The 17540-nt window shown below is 37.6% G+C and overlaps 1 annotated feature.

Moving 5' to 3' along the window:
• Positions 12144-12743: an enhancer, noted in NCBI's record as "NANOG hESC enhancer chr8:40077338-40077937 (GRCh37/hg19 assembly coordinates)". NCBI's record gives its function as "activates a minimal SCP1, AML or CMV promoter by ChIP-STARR-seq in naive H9 embryonic stem cells {active_cell/tissue: H9 hESC(naive)}" and the evidence as "EXISTENCE:reporter gene assay evidence [ECO:0000049][PMID:30033119]".

Raw genomic sequence — 17540 nt, forward strand, 5'->3', positions numbered from 1 at the left:
CCTCCATTACAATACATGTGCATTGATTGTTGGTTGGCACAATCATATATTCTATGCTCTTCAATTTTCAAAAATACTGCTATTAAATAAATAAAAAGGCTTAGGAAAATATCTAGCTGCTTGTCAATCTATTAACCTTACAGTCCATGTCTAGTTATTTTCACCTATACAATTTGGAAATAGGCTTGCAATAAGTCACTTGGTGCAATTCTGAAGATAAAGGAGAACATCTGCTTTTTGTTTAGGGAGAAGACACATGTGTGCAATGAAGTGGAGGAGACATTCTCCTTAGCCTCACTTTAACAGAGTATAGGGAGGAATGGATTCAGCTGACATTTTGGGGATAGAAATAAAACCTTTATATAAGTGAAGTACAACTCTTTAAAAAATTGAAATGAGAAGCTTTATTTTCATGATTCATACTCCTTGTTTCATAAGCACTGATTTTTAGTAGCCCTACCTCTATTTGAGGTTTTGCCACCACGTGCGGGCTGCATTCCTATGGCCCAGCTACTGCATCACAGGCCTCTGCTTTCTGGTTAGAATTTTACCCAGAGTGGCAATTTGACCCAGACATGCAAAAAATCAGAGTCCCTTCTCCCGATGTTTCAGCACTCTTTCACTACAGCCACAAACAAGATAACTGATAATGCCAGACAGAACCTCCACCCTTGACGAAAGCTGAGGAATTTAAACACATGTCCAGTATTTGGAGAATCAGCAATTGTGGCACTTAGCACAGTGCCCTCTGTGGTCTATGGAAGTCTGTGATCCTTATGCAGGAGATCATACGCACTGGGTGAACTGGCCCCGCAGGGAGGCAGTGTGAGTAGCTACCTACGGAATGCTGTTCAACACTGGCAAATACAATCTAAAAGGTCAACCAAAGTTTATTAAAATCACCAGCAATGCATAAAAGACATTGCGTGAAGAGATATTAACAGTTAGGAAGTAGTAGATTTTTGACATGGACAGATGACCACAGCATGGAATTGGCCTAGGGTGGGGCTTGGCCATGGGTCACTTTTCAAAGCTCCTGAGCAATGCTGGCACCCATTCATGGTTGTCCGCCACTGGGGCAGCAGTTTCGGCCATCTGGTAGGAACAGAGCACAAAGCTCCACCTATATCCCAGCTGCTGGCTAAGGAAAATGAAACTGTTCCAAGTCAGATTTTTTTTTTTCAAGCTCCTCTCTAGACAAAGGAGAAGATAATAAAATAAAAGAGTTAAAACTAGAATATGAGACATTTGGATTGGATATAAGAAGAAACTTGGGGGAAGAAGAGGTTAGGTATTAAAATGTATGACCTCAGGGATATTGTGTCATATCATTTTCTGGAGGGTTTCACAACAGGGATGAATTTCCATCTGTCTTCAAGGTGTTTCTAATGGAATGTCAAGATGATACTGGAGACTATAGCTCATTCTTTTAGACAGGGCTGAATTCTGCACTTATTCATTGAAAATAAATCAAGTTTTTCCCAAGTGTCCTATAATGTCCTAAAAAAGGGCACTAGGCTGGATGAAGGATTTGGGTGTACACATTGTGGCGGGTCCTGTTTGTAGAACTGTGACAGGCAGTAGAGTGTTTGGGGTAACTATGTATCCCCTAAAGCCAACTGCCTGGTTTCAGTTTTTCCACTTATTGATAGATAAACATACTCCTTAACAACCCTATCAGTTTACCTGTAATAGGGATAATGATGATGATGCTGGTGCTACCATCTTCATATAATTATTCTAATATTAGTTAATAGGCTATACTCCAAGAGTTCAATTAGTTCATATATGTAAACTACGTATACCACCCATGGAACATAGCAGATATTTGTATAAATATTTAATTTTTTTCATTAAAAGTGATTTTACGTTATCTGCATCAGAAGATTCATTCAATCCCAATTAATATTTTTACTTGCAAAATTAAAATATACACTCTTTTTTTCCTGTTCCTTAAGCTACAATAAAGTACAACACTTTCTAGGAAGGGCAAAATCTTAGTGCTGGAAGGAAATAATGAAATCTTCCAGAGGAACGGTTTTCAACTGTGGTTGCGTATTAGGGAGCTTTCAAATAATATTTATACCCAGACCCAAATACAAACAAGAGAATCAGGTGTGGAGGTTAGACACCAGTTTTTTTGTTTTTATTTTGTTTTCTTTTTCTGTTTTTGTTATTTACTCAACTTCATTTGTCATTCCAAAGTCTAACAAAGGATTCAAGCCATTGGTCTGGAACCATCTCTTCAAAATGCAGAAATTTCTCTAACCAACCTCTTCTTAATATTTCCATTGACACAGAATGGTATTTCCATTACCTCACATAAAACTGAATAGTCCTTTAAGTGTAATTCATGCTAAGCAAACAATTCAGACTGAACACATTCAATGTTTATTTTCAAATTTGAATTCATCACCTCCTTACGTTGTTGGCAAAAGTGATAAACAAATGATAAATGCCAAATATAATGAAATATTTCTGCAAATTCTGCAACTTTTTACAACCATCACAGTTAAGTGAAATAAAATATTTTCAAAAGCAAATTAAATTCTTTAGTAATAAATAACACAGTTATTATTACTTTGAATAAAATTACATAAAGATGGCATTTCGGTTTTGAAAGCTGTTTAGGAATCTATCTCCACATGATCAATTTCATTTATTTCTTTTTGAATTTATTTTATTTATCCATTACCAGTTGTGCAATAAACTATATAATCAAGAACCAGTGTCAGGCACTGGGCTATAAACCTTAATAAGGGCAAAACCAAAAGCTGGATTCAAAACTCAAAACTGTCAATTTCTTCAACGTGCCATACCTTTCTGTTTCCCCTAAACTATTAATTGTATTGGATATTTGCAGTTAAGCTGATTTTTAAATAGATTTGATATTGTTTGTAACAACTCAGAGCTATAATTCAGGTAAATTAAGGACTTGGTGGGGGAAGATTTTCTGTGGACGTTTTTTAAAAAATGAGTTCTTCTAGCTTATTTAAGATGTGATTTAACTCACCAGACTGTAGTGTGTATACAATTTCTGGAGACATTGATCAAGTAAGCCAGGACCTGCCTGCAACCAAGGCTATGTGTGCTGTGATCATTCTCTAAGTATCAGTGGGGGTTGCACATAGGCTGGTTTAGAGGACACAAATGAGATAAGAACAGGATGCCTAAAGCCTGGATGCCACTTAATTCAATGAGGACAGATCGTCTGAGTCAGTTTGGTTTGGAGGAAGGGCAGAAGTTGACTGTTCTTCGGAAGGACATCCGGAAGGGCGGTCACCAGGGAAACTGCAAATCACAATAACACTGCCACGGGTGCTGTTAAAGATGGTTACTGCAGCCTCCTCAGAAAAGCACTATTACATTTTAATCTCTTTATGGCGAATTATCAGCGGACCAAGGGTCATGAGCACCAGGTAGTAACAGCCCTCATTAATGGATGTTTAATCACTGCTATTTCTCCAGAGCCTTTAGAGTGCAGATTTTAGATCTGGTCTTATTTCTTCTAGATACTATCATTAACACATATCTTAGAAAACTTTTTGTATCCCAGATTTCCTTTGTTCATTTTATTTGCAACGGAACTGGCAGAGACCCATGGAGCCAGAATTAACGCAATGAAACACAATTAATACAAGTGACAAAGTGTTCATAATGATGATGTTGAATGGGAAGAAACCATCAACGTAGTTTTAAAACATTTCCAGGAGGGATAGCATTAGGAGATATACCTAATGCTAAATGACGAGTTAATGGGTGCAGCACACCAACATGGCACATGTATACCTATGTAACAAATCTGCACGTTGTGCACAGGTACCCTAAAACTTAAAGTATAATAATAATAAAATTTTAAAAAAAATTTCCAATGAACTTTTCCCCTCGAAATGCTAAAGTAAATCTTGACAGAGTGTTTTTTTTTATTGTAAACTCAATTTCTCAGATTTCTTTTTGTTCCATGTATAAAATCCAATTTTTGTGGTTCTTTTTCCTCAATGATACACAAACAAGCGTTAGTAATACTTATTTAGATTTATACAATGCCATTCTTTGCCATAACGCATTCTGATATTATCCACACCGCAGCTCTGCACTGGAGGAAAAGGCATTCTAAAGCAAGAGACTTTGGTCCTATTCTTGTGTTTTGTTTTGTTTTTCTCTTTTTTAAATTAATCTGACCTTGGGAAAGACCCCTAAGCTTTGTCCTCAGTTTCTTTTTATCTTTAATCTGTAGTAAAAGGAATTTGAATAGGTTATATATACAGCTTCTTCTAGAACTGAAATGCTGTAGTTTTCTTTTAGAGTGCATTCAGATGGGAGCAAAGGCCGTTAGTAACTCGCTCAAGCTCATACATTTAAACAGCAGTACACAAGGACTTCAGTCCCTGAATCATATTCCAAGGTGTTCCCACTAGGCTAGATTGCTTATTACTGAGAATGTGAAAATCAGAACTTGGTTTACTTCATCATGATTTTATTTTATTCTTGGACTAAAGAAATCTACTTAGTCTCATTGCTATATGATATTGAAACATTTTAAAACTAATTTCAAATGTTTTACATAAATAATGAACACTAGGCTTTGTTATTTGAGTGTGAAGATCAGGGGAGAAGGACGTCCACTCCGACCCACTGCCACCCACACCTCCCCGAGTCTACTCTATCTTGGGTTGGCGCTGTTTTACAAGAACATGGATTTCATTCCTGCTAAAGGAGTGGGACCGACGATTCTTGATTGTCCAAGGGCAAAGAGAAAAGATGACCTATTTAATTATCTTAATGGGCTTGGCGCGGTGGCACGCGCCTGTATTCCCAGTGCTTTGAGAGGCCAAGCCAGGTGGATCACGAGGTCAGGAGTTCGAGACCACCCTGGCTAACACGGTGAAACCCCGTCTCTACTAAAAATACAAAAAATTAGCCAATCGTGGTGGCAGGCGCCTGTAGTCCTAGTTACTCAGGAGGCTGAGCAGAGATCGCGCCACTGCACTCCAGCCTGGGCGAAAGAGCAAGACTCCGTCTCAAAAAAAAAAAAAAAAAAAAAAGATGACCTATTTAATTATCTTAATGGAATTTAGTTATAATTATAAAGTTTTTCAAAGTTTTGTTGTTTGTTTCTTTTGTATTTAGACTAACCCAAACTCTAAGAATTTCTTAAACAGGAGTACTTGAAGCTTCAAAGAGGATCCTTTGAAGAAGAGCTAATAACTAGAGTGTTGTCCTGTCTTCCACAAGAAGGAGTCTGGTGGGGAGGTGCAGATCTGGTTCTTCTCTTTGTCACACTACTCAATTTTTCTCATAGAGCAGGGAGGTAAAATATCGCTTTCCACTGGACAATGTTAACCAGGAAATGGGGTCATTGCACTGAAATAACAAAGGGGCCAGTTGCTTGATCTTCATGGTTTGCTAACACTTTACTGTGTTTCTTGTCTTCATGTAATAAACTCACCAGGGAAAGGTCTCTCTCTTCAGGAGTATTCTACTTTCTCCAGCTTCATTAGAAAAGTTTAGTTGGAGGAAAGAGGTAGTCAGCCCTGATACTTTCTTTAATTTAATGTTACCAGAGAGCCCTATGCTTTGAGAGCTATCAGGAATCCATTGATAAAACTAGCAACATATTTGATTCCCATTTGCCTCCTTGGTTGTTTCCCAATGTGTTCAGATAAAGAAGAAAGATGTCATTAGCTCCTCCAAATTTCTAACAGAAGCCAACACAATCAAGAACCAAATTCTACAGCTAATAACTATGAAGGGCAACAATATTTTCTGTTAAAGTTTGCTAGAAAGTGGATGTAACAATTCCAGATGTAGAAGGCTGTTCAGGGACTTAAACTGCAGTCCCTTTCTAATCTACTATAATTAGATGTTAATGTATTCACACCTTATCAATTGGTTGGAGACAATTATACTTGGAAGCATCACATGCCTCTCTCTCAAATAATTATTCTAATTTGTTTTGCTCACTTTGGGTAGTAATATAGCATAAGGTGAAGAGCCAGTGCTCCAGCAGGTCAGTGAATATTGCTTTACTACTCAGTACACATTTGTAGATCATAAACACGGTTCGTTAGTTTCTCAAAGACGAGAAAGTTTTCTTGCAGCAGACACTGCTGAAAGCAATAAAAATGATATAATCATTCTTGAAGAACATGTAACATTTACAGTCGTAATAAATTTTCCATGCACATGTGCACTTCTAACAAATGTTGTAGAGACTCAAAGTTGAGAGACACTTTTGAACCACTTAAAGCCACATGTCAAATCTTTCTTTAACTGTGATAAATCCTGTTCTTTCACCTGAAAAGGTGACATTTCATGGCAAATAAGTCTGAGAAATCACCTGGAACAAGAAAAAATTTTCCTGTTTTGTAAGCTATTTCCTATAATAACCAGAAAATTAGGGACAAAAAAAGCTAGCTCACAGCACAGTTGCTCTGAGCTTTGTTAATCACAATCAGGAAACTATACCTTTGTTTGAGAAGCCAATCAAGGACTCAGGTTCTCCTCTGCATGAATTCATCTCAATGTCCTGGCAAATTGGAGTGGCTGCCTGTATTGTTGTGAGCCCCAAGTTGCTGGCATTTCTGCATCATTAGAGAAGCAGAGGACAAACATGGATGCTGACCATTGGTATTTATGTACTTCCCTATCTTCTTCCTTGTAGCCTGGCCACAAGCAGTATGATCACCTCCACTCACATAGACACCTGTGACGTCACCAAAGCAACAGGAATGGGGCTTGGCCAAGCTTCTTTGCAGGCATGTCTCACCCCTTCCACAATTCTCCATCAGGGCCTGCTGCCCTGGGAAGTCAGCTTCTCTGCTGATTTTACCTTTCGTGGTTATTCTTGATATTTATTTTAATAAAATACCACAATGATAGAGATGCCAGAAGGAAAAGGTCCCAGTGGCATAATTTATCTCTGGCAGTTCAATGGAGACAATTAAATGAAACTTGTGAAATGTAAAAGGCAGCTTCTAAAACTGGGAAACGAGCCACTTTTCAAAACCTCATGTCATCAAGTGCATGTTTAGATTTAGGTCGCTCTGCAAATATCAGTCCCTTGCACGGAAGAGCACCGCCTTGCAGTGCTGGGTGAGGTCAGCTCGGGGACTGCATGACTGCTTAAAAAAAAAACAAACCTATTCTGTTCTCTTCATGTCTATTGGACTTTCAGGCACGACGGTAGAAATCCTAAATGGGCAGTTGAAATCCAGACCATTTAAAGCACAAAGACACAAACACACACACACACACATACATTAAAACAAAAAGTCTGGATTAAAAGGAGAGAATCTGCCATTTTTCATTAAGTGTACTAAGTATCTCCTCATACTTGTCATCTGTAAGAAGATGTAGTGAAACGAATACTGCACCTATAATCTGAGAATAGTTCTGGTACCACCACTTGCTATGCAACCTGGGTAAGTCCCCTAATGTCCCTGCCCTTTCTGTCTATAGATGGTGAGATAATACTTAATTTACTTCCCTCAAACAGTAGTTGTCAAGGTCAAATTAATAAATAGATCAAAAAGTATAATGCATTGAACACATAAAATGCTACCATTTAGTGTTGTCTTAAATTATGTTTTGAATATTTGTACTTTCTTTATTTACAACTTTTAAAATTTGCTTTTCCAAGTCCCAGAAGGAATAGGGAATACATTTAACAGTAACCGTCCTTAGCCCTGAAATTTAGAAGACTAGGTAATCATTGTACTTAATTAAATAAATTTGAAGGGAAAAAAGAGAACAGTTCAGCTATAGTTGTACTACTTTGACTGCTTTCTCGCCAACAAAGAAAGCCTTTAAATGACTATTCATTTGTTTAATCACTCAGTTAGTAAAAAAAAAATTAAGCCAGCCTTGTAGCTGAAATTATAAAATTGGATATCATTCAGTCTACAGTAGAAGATGGGCATACGAAAAAGTAGTCATATAACAGAAGAATGCACAAAATATAAGAACAGCAAGGGCAAAAACCAACTTCCACTGAGGGCAGGGAATGACAATCTTCAAGGGATGGAATCAGAATGTAAGAGGCATTTAACTGGATCTTGAAAGATAAGTAGGCTTTTTCTATGTGGACAAGAGCATGTTCATCACTATTGACACAATAAAAAATTCACTTTTAATATTAAACTAAAAGGTGAAATTATATGAGTAAATATGATAATTATCTCCCACAGTAGGGTAGGTCGTCCTGAAAGCAAATTAAACTGCTCCTATTCAAGCAGTCAAGCACCATAGGCAAGGCTTTCTAAATGGTCTGTTTGGATGAAAATCATCCCACTGGTATTAAGTAGAAACACAATGCAGTGGAAAAAGTGCCTAGGAGGCAGATTCCAAAGGAATTTAGAGGAAGAGAAAAGGAAGGAGAGGGAAGAGAGGGGTGGAGAGTAAAGGAGAGTAAAAGGGAGGTAGGGGGAGAGAAAGATTCTGGCTTTCTTATTTCATTTTTCTCGATTCCTTTAACCACTACATCCGCTCTATCCATGATGGGTGTACAAAATAAATTGATCTAATTAGTTGGTTTTAAGAATTTAAATATTCTCCTATCATGAGTGATTAACAAAATGTTTAAAATAATAATGTATTTATTAAATTGAGTTTGAAGCCCATGGAAAATTGAATGTAGCCAAGTCTTTGTGGATAAAAGTTGATGACCTAAATATCCCCCTGATGCTATTACTTGTTCCTTGGGTGACACTGATAAGTTCTGAACAATGAAAAGATCTCTCTTCCTGTGCTACCTTCTTAAAGAACTCAAAGATGAGATGCCAGGAAAGTGGGATTCTATCCTCTGTTTCACCTTGCTGATTTTCTACAGAGCTGACCTAAAAGTGAAGTGTCACATCTGCTCAAAGCTAGCAAATCTTCCCCAGGAAGCTTAGGGATTTCCTTCAGAAAAATAGTTTCATTCTAACTGTAATAGACTAACATGTAAAAAAGGGTTCTTGGGAAAACATTTCCCAAAGTTGATTCAAAACAGAAACTTCAAAGCAGAGTGGGGTTGGTTCCAGACTCTCTGAGTTAGGTAGGGGCACAGCCTCAAAAGGGGACCCAAGGTTAGCCTGCAAAGGTGCTCTCTTTCTGTCTCTGTTTTCTTCCTCTCTCCAACTGTCACTTCTAATGGCCTCAGTCCAATTCACTTTAGGCCTTTGAAGACATTTAGAACAGCTCAGATTTGGGGAAAAGTAATTCTTTACTCTTTTCTGTTCTTGGAATTCCAATAATAATGATTCTCAATCAGGCTTATGAATTTACAAGAAATGAAGCCATTGGGAACTGCAGAAAGCTATTGAACCAGTGTCTCTGGGCTTTGAACAAGCGTATATATTTTGGATTTTGCATTTGTGATTCTGATGTGTCCTCATGGTCAGTAATCACTTGTCATTTATTATTAATGCTAATAAGGGCCAAACTAACATTAATCTCTACTTCTATACCTAGAATCTCTTTGAACGGAAAGGGACATAGAGATGATTTAAAAGATCCTTAAGATGACCTCCAATCTTAACAACGATATAAGTCTGGGGCTATTGAAGGTAGAGCCACACTTACCTTAGCCAAACATTTAAAAATGTTTTAGGTTAAACATTTAAATGTGCCAGGAAAGAATATTTATGATGCCTAATATGCATAGAATGCCACAGAATTTAGACTCTACTTATTTAAGGATGACTGCTGGTGATCATAATTAAAAAGAAAAATAAATTAGCCACAGAAGGTATCTCTTGGATCCACAGTTTATGGTTGAAAGGTAAGTATATTAGAAGCAAAATTCCCACCATTATGCAATATCCCCATGCAGCAAACAGGCACATGTACCTCTTGGATCTAAAATAAATATATGTGTAAATAATCACATTTTTAAATGTGTATTGTACTTTCAAACTTGTAACTTTTTTTTACATTTTTGTGTTTTTATGCACATTAGAGATTGTCTTGTATGAAAGAGCCTTCCTTTTTTTTTTTTTTTTTTTTGAGATGGAGTCTTGTTCTGTGGCCCAGATTGATGTATGGTGGCCTGATCTCAGCTCACTGCATCCTCCACCTCCCAGGTTCCAGCGATTCTCCTGCCTCAACCTCCTGGGTGGCTAGGATTACAGGCACATGCCACCATGCCCAGCTAATTTTTGTATTTGTAGTAGAGATGGGGTTTCACCATGTTGGCCAGGCTGGTCTTGCACTCCTGACCTCAGGTGATCCTCCCGCCTTGGCCTCCCAAAGTGCTAGGATTACAGGCATGAGCCACTGCGCCCGGCCTTCCTTTCAAAGACTTAAATTAACTTAAATTTAATATTATATTTTACAGATGAGAAATACAGTGACTATTGTGCTTTCCGAACTTCCTTTCTTTCTCAAAGGAAGCTAGTTGCCACTAAAATCTCATCTCTTCATTTCTTCAGCATCATGGCTGCCAAGCCAGAGCAAATTTCCCAGACTCCCTTAGTTTGGGATTTGGCTATGTGACTATGAATAGGAGTGATATGCACATTTCTAAGCCCAGGTTTTCAGTCATTGGTTGAACACATTCTCGTCCTGTGAAAGTGACCCAGCTTCCACTATATGTAGACAACAACACTATCTGATATGGTTTGGCTGTGTCCCGACCCAAATCTCATCTTGAATTGTAGATTCCATAATTTCCACATGTTGAGGGAAGGAGCCGGTGGGAGATAATTGAATCGTGGGGGTGGTTTTCCCCATACTGTTCTCATGGTAGCAGATAAGTTTCACGAGACCTGATGGTTTTATAAGGGGTTTCCCCTTCTGCTTGGCTCTCATTCTGTCTTGTCTGCTGCCATGTAAGATGTGACTTTTGCCTTCCACCATGATTGTGAGGCTCCCAGCCATGTGGAACCATTAAACGTCTTTTTCTTTATAAATTACCCAGTCTCGGGTATGTCTTTATCAGCAGCATGAAAATGAACTAATACACTACCATAAAGAACATGGCAAAGTGGTGACTTGAGACATGGATCCCTGAAAGACTGTAATCAACAGTTCTCCATTGATCTGGGCAAATCTCACTGACACTTGTACATGAGAGAGAAATAAAATGGTATAATTTTTCTTTTAAACCCCTCAATTAGATCTATTTTTAGAAAATGTTTTATATCAGCGTTTGATATAAAGGGGATCCTCTAAAATCCCTCAAATATTTCGGCTCCTTCAACCAGGAACTGAGATTCTTAAAACATATCTAATGGTTTTTTGTAAACAGGATTTAAAAAAAGACTTGACACACACTTAAAAAAAAGCCCCAAAACCCAAACATATATATGTGTATGTGTGTGTATATATATATACACACACACACATTATATATATATATATGTATGTATATACATGCCTAAAAAGAATGTATGCAACAATTATTAAAATGAAACTTACTTAAGGTCACAGTCAATTGCTTCAGAACTAAACAGAAGCCTTTGTGCTTTTAATATTTTATTTTTTAATTTTCTGTAGAGATAGGGTCTCACTAAGTTGCCCAGGGTGATCTTGAACTCTTGGCTCAAATGACTCTGCCACCTCGGCCTCCCAAAGTGCTGGGACTATAGGCCTGAACCACCATGCCCATCTCAATTATTTTTGAGATATCCTCAACCCAAATCTCACTTTTTTAACCTGAGAGAAACAAAAACTTCAATTTTAGCTTTGGTCATACAATTTTATTCTCTACGTCTCTAAGACATTTTGTTTGGAATATTCTTCCTGTTGTTATTAATTAGTATCAACTAGCTAGTACTACCAGACAATTGCCCTACTTAGGTTTTCATAGCAGACACAACATCTTGGTTTGTCAAATGTATTACAATTTCAGAGAAAAGAAAACAAGCTACCCCAATTACATTTTGCCATTTGTCTGACACTTTCATTATCCTTGATGCAATTCCTATCACATGCTGTCTTGTTGTAAAAGCCATTTCTGTCAAATTAATTTAGGGAGGACTGGTGGAAAATGAAATTAAAAAAAAAAGCCAAAAAAAAAAAACAAAACCAAACCCTTCTTCATCTACTTCTACCACCTGGTGAATCAGCAGAGAAATATAATTTTATTATATTTCAAATTAAATCAGATTCTGGGCTTACTGTTTCTGACATAATCCAATGTAAAATCGAAGAGCTGCATCCATCCCTGACCATTTAGGAGCATGCTCGATTCATGGAAAATCAATTCCAGCTCACAGCCATGTGGCTCTTTATGATGACCCATTAGTATTTTTTTAATTTTTGTAAATCTAGTGACTTATTTATTTAGAAGCCATAAAAAAGAATACCTCTCCAGTTTAATGAAATCCTTATCTAGAAAGTGATCTGGGCTCTAGTCACATTCCTACCCTTATTAGGAAATCCATAGTTTCCCCTTAGTGCATATTAGGAAATCCATAGTTTCCCCTTAGTGCATAGCCAAAGAAAGAGAACAGAATATAAAAGCTTCTGAAGCACCTCTGTCTCCATTGCTTTTAATTTTGATTCTCTTCTTTCATTTGTAAATAAAGCTATAGAAATAGAACAATGAAATGGCAACTACCAGAGAGGATTAAAAAAGGAGCAGCCAGCCGGGCGTGGTGGCTCAGGCCTGTAATCCCAGCACTTTGGCGGACCGAGACTGGCGGATCACGAGGTCAAGAGATCAAGACCATCCTGGCTAACACGGTGAAACCCCATCTCTACTAAAAAATACAAAAAATGAGCCGGGCATGGTGGCGGGCGCCTGTAGTCCCAGCTACTTGGGAGGCTGAGGCAGGAGAATGGCGTGAACCTGGGAGGCGGAGCTTGCAGTGAGCCGAGATCGTGCCACGGCACCACTGCACTCCAGCCTGGGCGACAGAGCGAGACTCTGTCTCAAAAAAAAAAAAAAAAAAAAGAACAACCAAAACTATCTATGTGAACACATTTTACAGTCTAGGCTAGGGTACTAAGGTACGGGGTTAACTCTTGATTTTCAGTCCTCAGAGTTTGCCACTGCTGAAAGGTCCTACTGAAGCTGACAAGCCTGAGAAGCAGATAAATGTAATCAGGAAAGTAATAGATGAGAGACAGCACAGTGCATAAATGAGTTTTGGATGAGGGTATCAGAAATGGAGCTATTAACATTGAAGCAAAAAAGAGCAAAACGTGGAAGAAAAAAAGGTCATGAAGTCAAAGTGAGAAGAAATAAATACATTTTGGATAAATATTTATTTAAGGGCTTTATATTTTTTGGTCAATTTCAGTTGCATGAAAAACATGTTGGCTGGGCGCGGTGGCCCATGCCTGTAATCCCAGCACTTTGGGAGGCCGAGGTGGGTGGATCACTTGAGGTCAGGAGTTCAAGATCAGCCTGGCGAACATATAGTGAAACCCCGTCTCTACTAAAAATCCAAAAAAAAAAAATTAGCCAGGCGTGGTGGTGGACACCTGTAGTCCCAGCTACTCAGGAGGCTGAGGCAAGAGAGTCACTTGAACCCAGGAGGTAGAGGTTGCAGTGAGCCAAGATCGAGCCATTGCACTCCAGCCTAGGTGAAAGAGCGAGAGTCTGTCTCAAAAAAAAAAAAAAAAAAAAGAAAGAAAAGAAAAGGAAACATGTTAAACTTGATAAACACCTGAATATACAACTGGATCTTTCTGTATTTCCTTGGTTAAAAATGATTTTTGTCAGGGAAAAACCAGATGTAATTTACTAATCAGTTAAATAATTCTGATAACTCAGAAGTTTGGTTCATCTTTCTCGTACAGTATTGATACCTTTATTGAGATATATTTGTCATCATAAAATGCGTCTATTTAAAATGTTCACTGTGTTTAGCATATTCACAGTTGAGCAGCCATCACCACAATCTGAGTTTAGAACGTTTTCAACAAGGCAAAAAGCAGCTTCCTATGAATAGCAGCCCCTCCCTGTCTCCCACTGTTCATTTCTACCTGCTCTAAGCAACAGCTAATCTGCTTTCAGTTGCTATGAATTTTCCTATTCAGGACCTTTTGCATAAATTGAATCACACAGTATGTGGTCTTTAATGACTGGTTTTTATCACTTAGCTAATGTTTTCAAGGTTCATCCATGTTTTAGCATGTATCAGTACCTCACTAATTCTTTTTTTAAAATTTCTGAATAATATTTCACTGTTTGGATACACCATATTTTGCTAGCTACTCATCAGTTGATGGGCTTCTAAGCTATTTCTACCTTTTGACTATTGTAAATAAGTATGCTGTGAACATGTGTGTACAAGTCTTATGTGGACATATATTTTCATTTATCTTGGGTATATAACAAGAAGTAGAATTTCTGGGTCACATGGTAAATCTATGTTTAGCATCTTGAGAAACTCCAAACTACTTTCTAAAATTTTTACACCATTTTAAGTTCTCACCAGCAATGATTTGCCACATTCTTGCCAATACTTGGTAAGTCTTTTAAATTTTATCCATCCTAGTGGGTGCAAAACGCTATCTCATTATTGGTTTAATTTGTATTTCTCTGAAGACTAATGATATTGAGCATACTTTCATGTGTTTAATGAACACATGAAATATATATTGTGTATATTCTTTGGGGAACTAACTATTCAAATTCTTTATCTGTTTTTAAACTGGCTTGTCTTTTTATTGCTGAATTTTAAGGATTTTTAAAATATATTCTGGATATAATTGCCTTATTAGATATATAATTTACAAATAGTTTTTCCCATTCTGTGAGTTATTTTTTCTTTCTTGATGGTGGTATACTTTGACACAAGAAAGTTGTTTTTTTGTTTTGTTTTGTTTTGTTTTGATTTTTTGAGATGGAGTCTCCCTCTGTTACCCGGGCTGGAGTGCAGTGGTGTGATCCTGGCTCACTGCAACCTCTGCCTCCTGGGTTCGAGCAATTCTCTGCCTCAGCCTCCTGAGTAGCTGGGATTACAGGCACTCGCCATCACGCCGGGCTAATTTTTTTGTGTTTTTAGTAGAGACAGGGTTTCACCATCTTGGCCAGGCTGGTCTTAAACTCCTGACCTCGTGATTCACCCACCTCGGCCTCCCAAAGTGCTGGGATTACAGGCGTGAGCCACTGCGCCCAGCCCGACACAAAAAAGTTTTTGATTTTATGAAGTAAAATTTATCTAACTTTTCTTATATCACTTGTGCTTTTGTTGTCATACTAACTAAGCCATTCCCTAATCTAAGGTCAGAAAACTTATTCCTATATTTTCTTCTCAGAGTTTTATAGTTTTAGCTCTTGCATTTAGGCCTATGACTCATTTCTGGTTAATTTTTGTGTATGGAGTGAGATGGAGATTCAACTTTATTGAAGCCTTTTGGATATAGAGGTGTCTGAGAATATTTGTTGAAGAAGATATTCTTTTTTCATTGACATGTCTTGGTATTTTTGTTAAAGTCAATTAATCATAAATAATTTCTGGACTCTCAATTCCATTCCACTGATCTATATGTCTATTTTAATGCCTGTGCCACACTTTCTCAATAAGTGTAGTTTTACAGTAGGTTTTGAAATGAGGAAGTGTGACTCCTCCCTTTGATCTTCTTTTTCAGATTGTTTGGCTATTCTGGATATGTTGCATTTTCATATGAATTTTATGATCAGCTTGTTGACTTCTATAAGAAAAGGTAGGATTTTCATAGAACTTAGATTGCATTTCGTTTGTGGATCAATGTATAAGTTTGGGTTCTCCAGAGAAACAGAATCAATAGGAAATATAAAATTACTATAAGAAATTGGCTCATACAATTATGGAGACTAGAAGTTCAAGCTCTTTAGTCAGCAATCTTGAGACCTAGGAGTGGTGATGGTGTAACTTAAAACAACTGATTAAGGATTAATACTAACTTAATTGTAGTAGAATGCAAAGCGTTGCTCCAATACATCTCAGTTTTCTGCTTCCTCCTTTGCACAATTATTGTTATATAGAATATATATATATATTTATTTATTTATTTATTTGAGATGGAGTTTCACTCTGTCACCCAGGCTGGAGTGCAGTGGCGCGATCTTGGCTCACTGCAGCCTCTGTTTCCCAGGTTCAAGCAATTCTGTCTCAGCCTCCTGAGTAGCTGGGACTATAGGCACATGCCACCACACCCAGCTAATTTTTGTATTTGTAGTACAGATAGGGTTTCACCATATTGATCAGGCTGGTCTTGAACTCCTGACATCATCAGATGATCCACCCACCTCAGCGTCCCAAAGTGCTGGGATGAGCCAAGACATGAGCCACCATGCCTGGTCTTAGATTATACTTTTAAACATTATAAATATATAAACACAGGTTTTTAATTTTTTTTAACTTTTATTTTACATTTGAGGGTATATGTGAAGGTTTGTTAAGCAGGTAAACATGAATTATGGGGGTTTGTTGTATATATTATTTCATTACCCAGGTATTAAGCCCAGTACCCAATAGCTATATTTTCTACTCCTCTGCCTCTTCCCACCCTCTCCTCTCAAATAAACCCCAGTGTCTGTTGCTTTCTTCTTTGTGTTCATAAGTTATTATTTAGCTCCCACTTATAAGTGAGAACATGTAGTAGTTTGTTTTCTGTTCCTCCATTAGTTTGCTAAGGATGATAGCCTTCAGCTCCACCCATGTTCTTGCAAAAGACATGTTCTCATTCTTTTTTATGGTTGCATAATATTCCATAGTGTATATGTACCACATTTTCTTAATCCAATCTGTCACTGATGGGCATTTAGGTTGATTCTACATCCTTTGCTATTGTGAATAGATAAACACAGTTTTTAATTATTGCTTTATACAGTTGCCTTTTAAAACATGGGATAGGAAAAGTGTTATAAACATAATAAATATATTTATATTGTCTTTTATAATGCCCATGTAGTTAATTTTATTGGTCCTCTGTGTATTTTTGTGTGGATTCAAGTTACCATCTAGTGTCCTTTTCTTTCAGTCTGAAGGAAATCCCTTTACTATTTCTTGTAGTCTGCTAGTGATGAATTCTCAGTTTTTATCTTTCTGAAAATATTTTAATTTCTCCCTCAATTTTGAAGAGAGTTTAGCTAGATGTAGAAATCTTGGTTGACAGTGCTTTTCTTTTAGTACTTTGAAGATGTCATTCCACTGTCTTCTACTCTCCATGGTTTCTAGTAAGTTAGTCATTAATCTTATTGAGGATACTATGTCCGTGATAAGTCCTTTTTCTCTTGCTAATCTCAAGATTTTATCTTTTTCTTGATTTTTATTAATTTGATTGTGTTATGTCTAGCTATGGGTCTTTCTGAGTTTACTCTACTTAAAGCTTGTTGAGTGTCGTTTTTTTTCTTCAGATGGAGTCTTGCTCTGTCACCCAGGCTGGAGTATAATGGCATCATCTTGGCTCACTGCAATCTCCGCCTCCTGGGTTCAAGCGATTCTCCTGACTCAGCCTCCTGAGTAGCTGAGATTACAGGCACGTGCCACCACGCCCGGCTACTTTTTTGTATTTTTAGTAGAAACAGGGTTTCACCATGCTGGTCAGGCTGGTCTCAAACTCCTGACCTTGTGATCTGCCCGCCTCTGCCTCCCAAAGTGCTGGGATTACAGACGTGA

Source organism: Homo sapiens, chromosome 8, assembly GCF_000001405.40.
Source record: "Homo sapiens chromosome 8, GRCh38.p14 Primary Assembly".
Taxonomy (NCBI): Eukaryota; Metazoa; Chordata; class Mammalia; order Primates; family Hominidae; genus Homo; species Homo sapiens.